Genomic DNA, 13,349 nt, shown 5'->3' with positions numbered 1-13,349 from the left:
CCTTCTTGTCCACCATGAACCTCAGCCTCCAGGATATTAACAGGTGTAGACACCTGATCGTTTGATCTGGAGTGCCTGGGTTGGGCTACTGTTTCTTCAGACACAGTCAGCAGTACCAGTTTGGATCAAGGCCCTTGGAGTAAGAGGAGCAAAGGAGAGAGAAAGAAAGACTTGAAAGCAGGAGGATGGAAGGCCAAGATGCCTGGGCTGGGGAGTGGGCTGAGAAAGTCACAGATCAGGAGGGGGATCCACCAAGGGCAAAGTGGGGATGGAGTGGTCCTGAATCAAATATTTGGTTGGTAAGAAGTGTGTGTGTGTGTGTGTGTGTGTGTGTGTGTGTGTGTGTGTGACAGAGAGAGAGAGAGAGAGAGAGAGAGACCAAGACAGTTGGAGAGAGACAGGAGTGTGCATGTGCCTGTGTACAGATGTGTGCTAGTTAATGACTGGGAGGACCTGAGCGTTGGGTCCTGTGTGAGGTATGAGACGGAGTGGTGGTACCAAACCACATTCCAAAGGAGGAGCTCCTCAGGGGAGAGGACAACACTCATTCGGATGTGTGGCCAATCTGCTATGAATCGGTTGTCTGTATGCAAGCATGAGTACAGAGGTGCGTGTGAGTCCGTGAGTGCGCATCGCTTCTCGGCCTTTTGGCTAAGATCAAGTGTGGAGTCCGTGTGTGCGTGCATGTGGGCCATTGGGGAGCTCATGTGAAGCCGGGTGTGGGTGTACGTGAGAGTCCATGGGAGAATGTGTGTGTGCACAGGGAGGGGGTGGGGACGCTGCTCAGCTGCAGATGGGCTTTCAAGGTCTCCAAGAAACAGTTTTGTTTCCTAAGTGACTGGCCTCCTGGGGCCTCCAGCCCAGACTTGAAGGTTGTTTCAAGATCATGAAAGAGAGAGAGGAGGAGGGAGAGTGGGAGGGAAGGAAGAGCTGGGAGGCTCTATCACCCCCATCGTCCCTCCTCCCGCCCCGGCACCCCACTTCTCTCCCCCAGTCCTGATTTGGGCCCAGCTCTCCAGCCCTGCTCCTCTGGTCCTCCTCTCGGCTGCCAACCCCCCTCTGGGCATCTCTCCTTCTTCTCCTTCTTCCATTCCCTCTAACTCTCCTTTCTTTTTTTCTTTAGGGCCTGTGGTCTTGTCACTGCTATCAGGCTTCTGAGGTCTTCTGGGAGTGTGGGTGGAGTTTTTCTGCTTCCAAAGGGAGCCCACCTTGGGGGATGAGATGAGGGGAGCCGGGAAGGCCTGGACTGGCCATGACAAGTGTCCAAGAAAGATGACTTCTCACTCTCCCTGCCTCTCCAGCCCTCTGTCCTCCCACTCCCTCAGGTTATAGTGACCTGTTAAAAGGTTGGGATCAGCCAGGTGGGGTGGCTTATGCCTGTAATCCCAGCACTTTAGGAGGCCGAGGTGGGCGGATCATGAAGTCAGGAGTTTGAGACCATCCTGGCCAACATGGTGAAACCCCGTCTCTACTAAAAATATAAAAATTAGCTGGGAGTGGTGGCACATGCCTGTAATCCCAGCTACTCGGGGGGCTGAGGCAGAAGAATCGCTTGAACCAGGGAGTCGGAGGTTGTAGTGAGCCGAGATCGTGCCAGTGCACTCCAGCCTGGCGACAGAGCGAGACTCCGTCTCAAAAATAAATAAATAAATAAATAAATAAATAAATAAATAAATAAATAAAAAGGTTGGGCTCAGAGCCCCAGAGTGGCTGTCCAAGTCCTGCTGCTGTGTCAGTTTCCTCACTGGACTACAAGGATGGTGTTGAATTTTCTCCCCATCTCTCCTTTAACATCTGCTCCTCCGTTTTCTTTTTGGTCTTTCTTTTATTTTTATCTTATTTTTTTTCTTTATCTGTTAAACCATTCCTTCAACATGGTCTTTCTTTTCAGTCTACTCAAAGTAGATTCTAAAAATCTCTGCTGGCTGGGCGCGGTGGCTCATGCCTGTTTTCCCAGCACTTTGGGAGGCTGAGGTGGGTAGATCACCTGAGTCCATGAGTTCAAGACCAGCCTGGGCAACATGGTGAAACCTGTCTCTAATAAAAATACGAAAAAATTAGCTGAGCGTGGTGGCATGCACCTGTAGTCTTAGCTACTCATAAGGCTGAAGTGGGAGAATCACCTGAGCCCAGGGAGGTTGAGAGGCTGCAGTGAGCCAAGATTGCACCACTGTACTCCAGCCTGGGCAATCGAAGTGAGACCCTGTCTCAAAAACAACAACAACAACAACAACAACAAACAAAAAACAATAAACAGACAAAAAAAAACAATTCTTCTTCTCTCTCCCTTAAAAAAAAAGGACAGATTCTCACTCTGTCACCCAGGCTGGAGTACAGCGGCATGATCAACTGCAGCCTCGACCTCCTGGGCTCAAGCCGTCATCCTGCCTCAGCCTCCAGAGTTGTGCATCCATTGGCATGCGCCACCACACCCAGCTGGTTCTGTCATTTTAATCTCTCCCCAGAGTATTTTTATTATCCTCTTTATTGTTAAAACCACACTGTATAGAATTTAGAAAATAGGATGTAAAAGCACCCAGAAGCATTTTCCCCAGCCTCTGCCTGTGCTGCATTCCCACCTCCTTTCGTTCTTACTTCTCTCTGGATTCAGATAGCTCCATGTTGTGTTCTGCCTGTGCCTTCTTCACGTGGAAGTCCCAAGGGAGAAAAAGGAAAGGACCCATGGTGTAGCCCAGGGAACCCATGTCAACCCTTCCCAGGAGCATGAAGGCCTGGGCTATTCTGTGCCTCTGCTTTCCCTCCTGTCCTCTCACAGTCCCCACCGTGGTCCAATGCAATGGACTCTTGCCTGAAAGTCAAGTCAGCTGAGGCTAGTCCTGCTGAAGCCACTAACCACCTGTGTGATGTTGGACAAGAGGCTTCTCTACTCTGACCTTGGCATCTTCATCTGAATGACAAGGAACGGGATGAGAAAATCTGTGAGTAATTCCAGCACTTTGGGAGGCACGAGGTCAGGAGATTGAGACCATCCTGGCTAATGCGTGAAACTCCATCTCTACTAAAAATACACATGCACACAAAATTAGCTGGGCGTGGTGGCAGACACCTGTAGTCCCAGCTACTCAGGAGGCTGAGGCAGGAGAATGGCTTGATCCTGGGAGGTGCAGGTTGCAGTGAGCTGAGGTTGCGCCACTGCACTCCAGCCTGGGTGACAGAGCGAGACTCTGTCTCAAAAAAAGAAAAAAAAAAGAAAATCTCTGAGGTCCCTCTCCAGTTCTGATGATCCCCAAATTCCAGGCTATTTCTGCCTCAGCGCACAGCTCAGCTCAGGTAAACAGCAGGAGTTACCTGCAGGTTGTACCTGTGTGAGAACCATCAGTTGGAGACCTGGGTTCAGAAGGAGATCCAAGAGGGTAGGTTGTCCTGTCTTGTTTGTGAGCATGGAGGCAGGTGCTCCTATTTTGTTTATTATTATGACTCATAGAAATGAATCGAATCCCTTTAACTCTTGGCATGGAAAAAAGGAAGGGCTCCGGTTTGAGCAAAGGCTACCCTGGGTTCTTACAGAGCACCGCTGTGAGAGGTGGGACAGGGTCTGGGTATCTTTGGGGGAGGAAGGCAGGGCTGGTGGTGAGACTGGGAAAACCTGACATCTCTTGGCTGGTATCTGATCAGCAAATACCAGGGGAGTCTGTTTGCAAAGATTCTTTGGGCTGGGAAAAGTGTGTTGAGGATATGGGGAGGACGGGGTTAATGGGCCCTGCTGAGTGTGAGGAGCAAGGGTCACAGCTGGACCCTCCAGGGTTCCTGTTAGCCTTTGATTCCATCCGGGCAGGGAGGGAGAGGTCCCCCAGCCCCCTGAGGCAGGTTTGCTTTGGCCAGAGATCTGAACCAACCACTGGCCCAGAGCACCCCGCCTCCCCGCTCCCCCTATCAAGAGGCAGCTGGCTTGGCCCCCAGCCTCCTTCTTCCCACCTCCCTCTTCCCTTACCAGGCCCCCTCCACTTGGCCCAGGATACAGCTCTGTTTATCTGCCTGTCCCCTGTGGCATTCTGTATGCTCAGAGAGTTCAGGATGCCCTGCAAACATCTGGCACACAGGGCCACTGCCTCCCTCCCACATAGCAGCCTCTCCTCGGAATTTCAGGGAGCTTGGCCTCCTCTGTGCCTCAGTGTCTCTGAAAGTCCAAGATTCTTTTACTTTTGTGCTCCCCTCTGGATGTTCTCACCACTGCCCCCTTGAGGAATGTGAGTGCCCTCTGGGTGACTTAATAAACAGAACATGTGCTTTTTGATGTTATTGCATCATTTAGACATTCAACAAACATTTGTTGAGCACGTACTTTATGCTATATTCTGTGCAAGGTACTAGAAAGACAGTTACAATCAAGGCAAACAAGATCCCCACCCTCATTGTCTTTTCTCTCAGAATCTCATGCCATTTAGTCACAAAATCCCCCCATCCATTCTTGACCTTGTCCTCCCAAGCTCATAGTCCTTAGGGACTCCCCACTTCCATTTCCTCAAACTTTCCCCACTTCTTTACCTCTACTTTTGCTGAGTGAGGTTGAGTGGGCCTGGCTCTGCCTCCTGCCTAGATGATTCTCCCAACCCAATGACGCGGGAGCAAAGGCTGCGCAATGGCGTATTGGAAATCGTATTGGAAATCACTCTGGATTAGGCTAGAGGGAGGGCAGAGGCTTTCAGTGTGGGACTTGCTCTACAGTTAACCAGCTGTGCGCACTTGAATAAGTCCTTTACCTCTCGTCAATAAAGTAGTGGGTGGAGGGTTGGACTAGCTAAGGATTCTCACCCTTAGCTTCATGTTAACATCCCATGCCCAGGCCTCATCTTCAGGTACCATGTTTTTAATTGATCTAAGGTGGGGCTTAGGCATCAGTGTTTTGTTTTGTTTTTCGAGACTGAGTCTCACTCTGTCGCCCAGGCTGCAGTGCAATGGCACAATCTCGGCTCACTGCAACTTCCACCTCCCAGGTTCAGGCGATTCTCCTGCCTCAGCCTCCTGAGTAGCTGGGATAACAGGCATGCACCACCACACCTGGCTAATTTTTGTATTTTTAGTAAAGACGGGGTTTCACCACGTTGGCCAGGCTGGTCTCGAACTCCTGACCTCGTGATCCACGCACTTTGGCCTCCCAAAGTGCCGGGCTTACAGGTGTGAGCCACTGCGCCCAGCCGCATCGGTATTTTTTTTAACTCCCCAGATGAATCAACAGGCAGATTTGAGAACCACTGAACTATATTGTCCCTAAGATCTGTAGCTCATCATAGCTAACGGTTAGTGAGCACTTATTGTAGATTGCATGTTTGTGTCTCCCCAGAATTTACAGATTGAACCTCTGATGTGATGGTATTAGGAGGTGGGGCACTTGGGAGATAATTAGGTCATGAGGGTGGGATTAGTGCTCTTTTAAGAGGAGGCATGAGAGAGCTTTCTTCTTCTCTCTGCTGGCCATCATGTGGGGTACACAGCAAGAAGGTGGCTATCTGCAAACCAGGAAGGGACCCCTCACCAGATACTGGATCTGCCAGCACCTGGATCTTGGACTTCCCAGTCTCCAGAACTAATGAAGACAGCATGTAGTACTTAACTTAGTCCTCACAACTCTATTTTACAGATGGGAAAACTGAGGCACATAGATCCTCAGCTTACCCAAGTAGGGGGGCTGCGGTTCAAACCTGGTTAGTTTGTTTCCAGAGCCTGCACATTTAACTTCCATGCTGTAAGGACCCACTGAAGCTTCTCCTTTGGGTTCTTGTCCCCAGGAGTAAATGACCAGAACTGTCTGGATGCAGTGGTGACAGTGAGGAGTGCTCCAGAAGATAAAGGGGAAGAAAAAGTGCCAACTCTTGTGCATCTGTGTTGAGCCAGGTATTGCTGGCTGCTGGTTGCTCACCATAGCATTTAGAGGGTGGTGGGAGCCCAGAGAAGGGGGAGATGGTTCTCAGTTGGAAGAATCAAAAAGGTCTTCATGGAAGAGGTGGCATTCTAGTTGGGCCTGGACAGATAGGTAGGATCTGACTCAGAGAGATAAAGGAGAAGGAACAATGTGAGCACAGGCACAGACAGCAGAAGCACTCTGCACAAGGAAGGAATATGGGCGGTACTACTGGAAATAGATGTTGGAGCCATTTCATGGAGGGCCTTGAATGCCAGAGTAATTGCCACTCTAATTGCTAGTGTTTCCTAAAAAGGCTCTGATGATAAGAATCACCTGGGTGCTTGTTAAAACTATAAAAGAACAGGTACATTTCTTCAAGATTCTGATTCATGAGGGTGGGCGTGGAGAGTGGGAACCTGTATTCCTACCACCAAGCAAGTTTGAGAAATATCGCTATAAACAATATGGAGCCACTTAAAGTTTTTCAGCAGGGGAGTAATCTCATTGAAATTGCGTTCTAGGAAGGCTCATTTGATGGCAGGGTGTGTGCCTGTACGTGGACGGGATGTTGGGCTGGAAGGGAGAGACTGATGGGGGCTATAGGTGGTGAAGGTCTGGAGCAAGACAGAGAGGAGACAGGGATGGATGAAAAAGATGTTTGGGAGGTAGAATTTCAGTATTTGGCAGCTGATTGGACATCAGAGTAAGGAAGGAAGCCGTTGGAGATGGTGGGGGTGGTGAGGACGTTGGTGCAAAGTTAACTAAAATAAGGGTAGGGGAGAAAGGAGATTGGGAAATAAGCCGCAAGTTTGCATGGGGGCATATGAAGGTTGAGGTGCTCCAGGCAGGGCTTCAGATGAAGGCACGTGGGGGGTGATAGAAATGGGGACTGGAGCTTGGGAGAGGGCATGGGCCATGGGAATCCCCTGCATGGAGGGGAACACTGAGCCAGGAGAGCAGAGGAGATGGCCCAGGCAGGGGAGCTAGAGGACAGAGGTCTGAGGATCCTGGGTAGTAACACCTATGGTAGAGGAAGAGGATCTGGAAGATGGCAAGGTAGGGAAGCCAGAGAGATGGAGAATTAGGCCGAGTAGAGGGGCCAGGAAGCTGAGAGAGGAACAAGTTTTAAGGGGCAAAAAACTAACAGTTTCAGATTTCAGATGCCAGGGGGAAAGGAAAGCTGGTCACTTTTTTTTTTGTCAACTCAGAGGTCACTGGTGTGTCCTTTGGGAAAACCATTTCCATGTCAGGTTGAGTTTGGAAATAAACCTGTGAAGCGTTGAGGAGTGTGGTGAGGAAGCTGAGGCAGGGCGTAGGTTATCCTCTCCCAAGGGGATTGTGGGAGATGGAAGGGGAAAGAAGACTGGGTAAACTGAGACAGCAGATGGAGGAAGCAGTGAACAGTAGAGACCCATTTAGAAGTCTCCTCTCCTTTGCCACTGGTCCCACTGCGCCTGTGGGCCCTAGCTTTGATCATAATGGGGCACCATGACACACATGTTTTCATTTCATCTTCACAACAATCCTTAAAAAATAATGAGATCGGTACTCTAGTAATTCTCACTTTACAGATGATGACACTGAGGCTAGAGAAAGTGAGTAACGGGATTCAGGCTACACAGCTGGCAAATTCAGGTCTGTGCTGTCTGCTTCTGAAATCCCAGCCCCCAAGCTTTTTACTTAATTGAAAACACAGAAGCTTTATTTCTTACGCCTGAGCTCCTGATTGGTAACCTGGCTCATCCCCTGATTTCCAGGTTCGTTCTGGCCAGTCCCCTTTCCCCAGGGCTATCCAGTTCAGGAGCTGGGATCCTTCATGCCAGTGCTCAGGGCCTCAGTACCAGCTGGATTCCCTGTCACCCTGCCCTGCTGGCTGGTTGGACCTCTACATCTTTGTTGTCTCCCAGCTCCTTCTGAGGACAATAATTTGTATGGTATAGATGCGGCCCGCAACATGGCTGAAGGCTTGTGCTGTGGAGTCAGAATGCCCGGAGAAGAAATCCTAGGTCTACCACTAATTGGACACATTTTTTTTTGAGACAGGGTCTTGCTGTGTTGTCCAGGCTGGAGTGTAGTGGTGCAACTGTGGCTTACTGCAGCCTCACCTTCCTAGGCTCAAGCAAACCTCCTGCCTCAGCCTCTTGAGTAGCTGGGACTATAGTTGGTGCCCACCATGTCTGGCTCGTTGTTTGTTTTTTTGAAAAATTTTTAGTAGTGACAGGGTCTTGCTATGTTGCCCAGGCTGGTCTGGAACACCTAGGCTCAAGCAATCCTCCGGCCTTGGCCTCCCAAAGTGCTGGGATTACAGGTGTGAGCCACTGTGCCTGGCTTGGGCAAATTTTTTAGCTTTTCTGAACTTCAATTTTTTTTAACAGCTCTAACTTATAGAGTCATTTTGAGAATTACAGTGCCCAGTGAAGGTTAGCAATTATTTTATGCCCTTGATTTCCAATGTCCTGGCCTTCAGACTGTGATTTCTTTTTCAGCTTGATCTGATCTCCAGCGTCCTTCCCGCCCTACAGGACAGAACTCAGCCCTTCCTAGGCTGCTTAGGAAGCCAGCCTGGTTGTTTCCTGAGGGGTGGAAGGTTCAGGTTCTGAAATAAGAGGAGGAACTTTCTATCAGCTGTAGATGGAAGTGACTAGTGTATGATGGACTCCAGAGGAACTAACAGTGTCCACTGTGGAGGTGACATGACCACAAGAGAGGAAGGGCCCAGATTCCTTCTCTTGTCACTCGGCATGTCCTCACTTCCTCAGTCACACAGCAAATGTCTGTTGAGCTTCTACTCCTTGCCAGGAAACTCTGTAGGCTTTGGGGAAAGGCAAAAAAGAGTTAACAGTGGCTTTGAGAAGCTCACAGCCAGGATGGAGAGGCAGATATAAACAAGCACTGTAATTACAATGCAGAGTGGGAAACTCTACCAAGGAGCTGAGAACAGGGTGCAGTGGGAGCAAGGGGGTGGGTCGCGTTAGCATCAAAACTCTGGGCCCCCGCTCTCTCCCATGGCCAGCTCGGTCACCCCCACTGTTCCATCTGTTTCTTTGTTTTTTCAGAGTCTTTATTTCTGGCTTTGTTTTCCCTTCACTTTCCTAATAGAGAGCCTTTGGAAAAATTCCACCCTTGTTTCAGTTGGAACAGGGAAAAGGAGAATTGTCTACTCTTCAGCCAAAATAACCAAGGGGTGCCGGGTTCCTGGAGAGTCCAGGTGGACAAGCAGAGGAAGCAGGGACTGTCCCGAGGGAGCCAGGGGAGAGCCTGCAGCGCGGCAGGCATGGGGCAGGGAGAGGTGAAAACACAGGATGAGCTGTGCCTGGCTGGAAGGCCCAGGTGGCTGTGTGCCTCGAGTCCTCTTCCAGAGCTCTCTCTGCATCTCCTGTCCTCTGTTCTGATTGGAAGAGAGAGTTGAGACTTCTTCCACTTCAGAGAATCCTGTAAAGCCTGGTTACATTGCTCTTTTCCCACCCAGGTAGCTGTGAAGGGCTGGGACCCCAGAGTTAGAAGTGAGTCTTTGACATTATTCACAGCAGAGGGCTGTGTATGTGTGTGTCTGTGTGTGTGTGTGTGTGTGTGTGTGAAATCCCTCCTTTCCCCTCCCTCTTTCCCCATACCACCACACACACAACGCTCATTGTTCCCTGGGCCTTCAATTCTGCATTCATCCATTCAACACATATTTATTGAACACTCACTATGTGCTGGAAGCTGGAGCTGTGTAGTGGAAAAAGTTATTTCAGAAGGTTGCATAGGCACCAGATATGCATGTGTGTGCCTGAATATATGCACATGTATGTATGAATCAATGTGGGCAGGCTAGGGAAACAGGAGGAAGAAGGGAAGAAGAATGTTTGGGAAACTGAAGTTTGGGCATCAGGTAGCTTGCATTTGCATCTGGGTGCTACCATTTGCTAGCTGTGTGACCTCGGGTAAATTATATGAGCTTTCTGTGCTTCTGTCTCCCAGCTGTAAAATAGAGATACTCGTAGTATTCACCTCATGGGGTTGTTGTGAAAGCTGAATGAATGAATGTGCACAGAGTGTGTGCAACGGTGCCCAGCATGAAGTAGGTGCTCTGTAGGTATTAGTAATTGTTCCCTTCTCACCCCACTCAGAGCTGGGTGGAGACAAACTCGTAAATGACTGGCAGTCACCTGGTGCTACCCACCTCCTGCCCCCTGAGGCTCATCTACAACACTCAGCCCACAAACCTCTGTCTAACCAAACCACTGCCATCTCCTGCCCTTGGCTGACCCCCACCCCACCCTAGGCTGCTCAGGGTAGAGAAGAAGTAATATCACACAGTGGGGGTTGCTTCAGTCCCACGCTACCCTCCAGACATATATCTGAGCTGTCAGTTCCCTCTTAGCAGACTGGGAATGGAGAAGTGGGATGGGTGAGCATCTGGGGCGGAGCCCAGGCTCCCAGCACCCACCCGATGGGACTGGGGAACAAAGAACTTGTCAGGAGGTCAGAAGGGAGACCGAGGGGATTCCAGCTCTGAGGAATCCATGTGTGGCATTTGAGCGTGGGTGGCAGCTGGCACGAATCCTTGGTTCAGAACTGGCAGGGCCCCCTCAGGAGTCAGGGCCAGGTCGTGCCAAAGCCCCAGTGGCATCGCGGCTCTGCTATTCCTGAACAGCTGTGCTGCTCCCCTTGGCATAGGGTTCAAGAATGGGGGCAGGAGTGTGGGCCTAGCCAGGGAAAGAGGAGGGTTCAGAGAGTAGACACACACACACACACACACACACACACACACACACACACACACAGTTCACCATGAAGGTGCAGATGCCTGGCTCAGGGAGAAAAGAGGGGAGGGAGAGGGTGGAAAGCGAATGTGTGTGTGTGTGTCGGGGGGGAGATGGCTTTGTGGTTCTGTGAGTGTGTTTGGTGTTTGGGTGTGCATAATGTCTCTGTGTTTATCTTTGTGTGTGCACTTCTGTTTCAGTGTGTCTCTGAATGAGTTTGTTATCAGGGCGAGGGTAGGTTTCTGCACTACTTCTGTCTCTGACTCTGCTTGAGCCTCTCAGCAACTCAGCAGAGAGAATCTTCCCTTCTGGGAGGGTGGGAAAATATAGCTCATCAGGGCAGTATGGGCCAATGCTTTATAAACACACACAAATCACAGGACATTCTTGTGTGTGATCCTTAGCTCCCCACAAAGCTACGGTTGATACACATTTAAAAGAGAGAGAGCTGAGTCCTATGTGTATGCTTGTGCCATTTCTATATGTCTGACAGTCTGACGAGCATGTGTGCTTATGTATTTGATGTATTTGTCACTTTGTCCCCACGGCAGTATCTGTGTCTACAGCTTGGTGTATACTCATGTGTGCTAAGCCCATATTTAACTGTGTCCCTAGTGACGTTTGTCTTTAAGCAGCAACATAACAGGAGTTAGAAGCACAGGCTCCACAGTGAGGCGATCCATTTCGAATCCCTGTGTGGACAGTAACTAATGCATTAACCTTGGACAAGTTTCTTAACTTTTCTATGCCTCAGTTTTCTCACAGGGATAATAATAGCACATGAGGATAAATGAGATCACATTTAGTGCCTGACACAGGTCAGCATATGTGAATGGTCCTGTCTTTGAACGTGCTCCTCTCTGAGAGCTGTCTGCTTGGTTGTGACTGTGGTGTGTCACATCTCAGCTGGATTATAAACTGCTTTTGGGCAGAGCGTGGGTCTCAATTATCTTTAACAATACTCATGACACCTCAGTGTCACCTTGGTGTCTTGTGTATATGTCATCTTGAGGTGAAATGAGACCTGTTTCATGTGAAACAGGACGGGTGTCGGATGCAGGCCCATGCCTGGGGTAGTACATGGAGGGCAGGTGGGAAGCTGGTGATGGCAGTGACAACACAGCCCAGCCGGGCATCAGGGTCCCTCATGGTCACTACTGCATACCTGCCAGGTCTCTCTGCAAACCCAGGCTCCCTCCTCCTTCGTGTCTCAGTCTGGCCTGGAAACTCACTGAAGGGCTTCCTTCCTCCTTTCTCTGCTCACCCCACCCTCGGGCACCAGCCTAGGTGTGTGTTTTTAATGGATGAGATGAGTGCCCTCCAATCTACACCATGCATCGCTGTTTTGCAGCTTGTGTGTGTTTGCCCATGGCTCTGTGGGGGTGTGTTTCTGGGAGCCGTCTTTCTGTCTGATCCCCGCTCCATTACAGTGGGGACATGTGTCTGTGTGTGTGACGTGCCTCGTGCCTGGGGTTTGTTCTCCTCCCCCAGCTTTCCCAGTTACATAAGCAGCTGAGGGGTCCGTCAGGCCTGGGCTGTGGGCTCCCTCTGCTGGCCGCCTCTGGAACCCGCAGTCTGGGTTCCAGAGGGGCCTGGGTTCCAGAGGGGCCTGCTGAAGACACTGTTCTCTCCTTGGGCCTTATCCCCTCTGGAGGGAGACACCAACCCAGTTCTCAACGCCAACCTGCCCCCAGCTCCTTCCCAGCCCCAGGCCACAGGGTAAGAGAGGATACCTCACCTCCCTGAAGACCCCTCTCATCATACTCATACTGGGGGTTGGTTATGACTTGTTTATGAAATGTATCCCTAACATATAGAACTATGTTCCCTGAGGGCAGGGGAGCAGGCCCACCTTGTTTACCATGGCATCTCCAGTGCCCAGTACAAGGCCTGGCCCAATCAATATTTGTTGAATGACTGAGTTTACAGGGTGGAGAGGCTTGGGAGGAGGGACAGTGAGGTGTAGGAAGATTTGGGGCTTTGGGGACAGACAGACAAGCCTGGGCTGAAGTCACCCCTAAGCCACTTAAAAACTGTGTGGCCTTGGGCAAGGTACTTAACCTGCCTAACCTCAAGTTTCTCTTCTGTTAAATGACACCACCTTGCAAAATATGCTATAAGGACTAGGACTAATATCCAAAAGGGCCTTCTTGTGTAAGCATTTCATAAATGACATCTATCATTATTACAATTGGTAACATCTTTCATCCCTCAAGCATCATGAAGGCATTAAATCCACTCGATAATTAAATCCATTATAAAGGGAGAGACGTATTCTTCCAAAAGCTTCCCCTATGAGTTTCAGTTTTCACATAGCTCGATATGCCTGTGGATGGATTTAGATGATGAGGTTCTGGAGCAACCTTCTGGATATTTCAAAGTGGGAATAAACAGGCACCTTATTGCCCTGTTCATGGGCCAGTGCTGGCAGTCCTGGGAAGTGAGGGCTGGACCTCTGATCTCCCTTCAAGGCCTCAGTTTCTCTGGTTTCTCCAGGGTTCCTCAATGTGGCTTCTACTGGCAACCCCGTGAGCATCTTCTCAGAGTCAGGCACTGTGCCACGCTTGAGGAATACCATGTCAAGGAAGGTCTGGTCTGGCCTGTGCCACTTACCCTCTCTGGGCCTCAGTTTCCTCTTCTGTAAAGGGGGGTGAGTGAGTGGGAGGGAAGGGGGATGAGAGGGGAGAGGGAGGATGTTGGAGGGTAGAGGGTGGTAAATGGGCTCTGGGGTCACCTCC

At 50.2% G+C, this 13,349-nt stretch overlaps 6 annotated features.

The window, feature by feature from the left end:
• Positions 64-683: an enhancer, noted in NCBI's record as "H3K4me1 hESC enhancer chr1:160082429-160083048 (GRCh37/hg19 assembly coordinates)". NCBI's record gives its function as "activates a minimal SCP1, AML or CMV promoter by ChIP-STARR-seq in primed H9 embryonic stem cells {active_cell/tissue: H9 hESC(primed)}" and the evidence as "EXISTENCE:reporter gene assay evidence [ECO:0000049][PMID:30033119]".
• Positions 684-1,303: an enhancer, noted in NCBI's record as "H3K4me1 hESC enhancer chr1:160081809-160082428 (GRCh37/hg19 assembly coordinates)". NCBI's record gives its function as "activates a minimal SCP1, AML or CMV promoter by ChIP-STARR-seq in primed H9 embryonic stem cells {active_cell/tissue: H9 hESC(primed)}" and the evidence as "EXISTENCE:reporter gene assay evidence [ECO:0000049][PMID:30033119]".
• Positions 3,052-3,573: an enhancer, noted in NCBI's record as "H3K4me1 hESC enhancer chr1:160079539-160080060 (GRCh37/hg19 assembly coordinates)". NCBI's record gives its function as "activates a minimal SCP1, AML or CMV promoter by ChIP-STARR-seq in primed H9 embryonic stem cells {active_cell/tissue: H9 hESC(primed)}" and the evidence as "EXISTENCE:reporter gene assay evidence [ECO:0000049][PMID:30033119]".
• Positions 4,069-4,363: an enhancer, noted in NCBI's record as "tiled region #5459; HepG2 Activating DNase unmatched - State 5:Enh, and K562 Activating DNase matched - State 12:CtcfO". NCBI's record gives its function as "activates a minimal TATA promoter and a strong SV40 promoter by Sharpr-MPRA in HepG2 and K562 cells {active_cell/tissue: HepG2 | K562}" and the evidence as "EXISTENCE:reporter gene assay evidence [ECO:0000049][PMID:27701403]".
• Positions 4,231-4,280: an enhancer, noted in NCBI's record as "active region_1913". NCBI's record gives its function as "activates an Ori minimal core promoter by ATAC-STARR-seq in GM12878 lymphoblastoid cells {active_cell/tissue: GM12878}" and the evidence as "EXISTENCE:reporter gene assay evidence [ECO:0000049][PMID:35858748]".
• Positions 11,926-12,426: an enhancer, noted in NCBI's record as "H3K4me1 hESC enhancer chr1:160070686-160071186 (GRCh37/hg19 assembly coordinates)". NCBI's record gives its function as "activates a minimal SCP1, AML or CMV promoter by ChIP-STARR-seq in naive H9 embryonic stem cells {active_cell/tissue: H9 hESC(naive)}" and the evidence as "EXISTENCE:reporter gene assay evidence [ECO:0000049][PMID:30033119]".

The sequence above is a fragment of the Homo sapiens genome, chromosome 1 (genome assembly GCF_000001405.40).
Source record: "Homo sapiens chromosome 1, GRCh38.p14 Primary Assembly".
NCBI lineage: Eukaryota > Metazoa > Chordata > Mammalia > Primates > Hominidae > Homo > Homo sapiens.
Note: the sequence above shows the minus strand (reverse complement) of the source record. Positions and strands in the feature narration are given on the sequence as shown.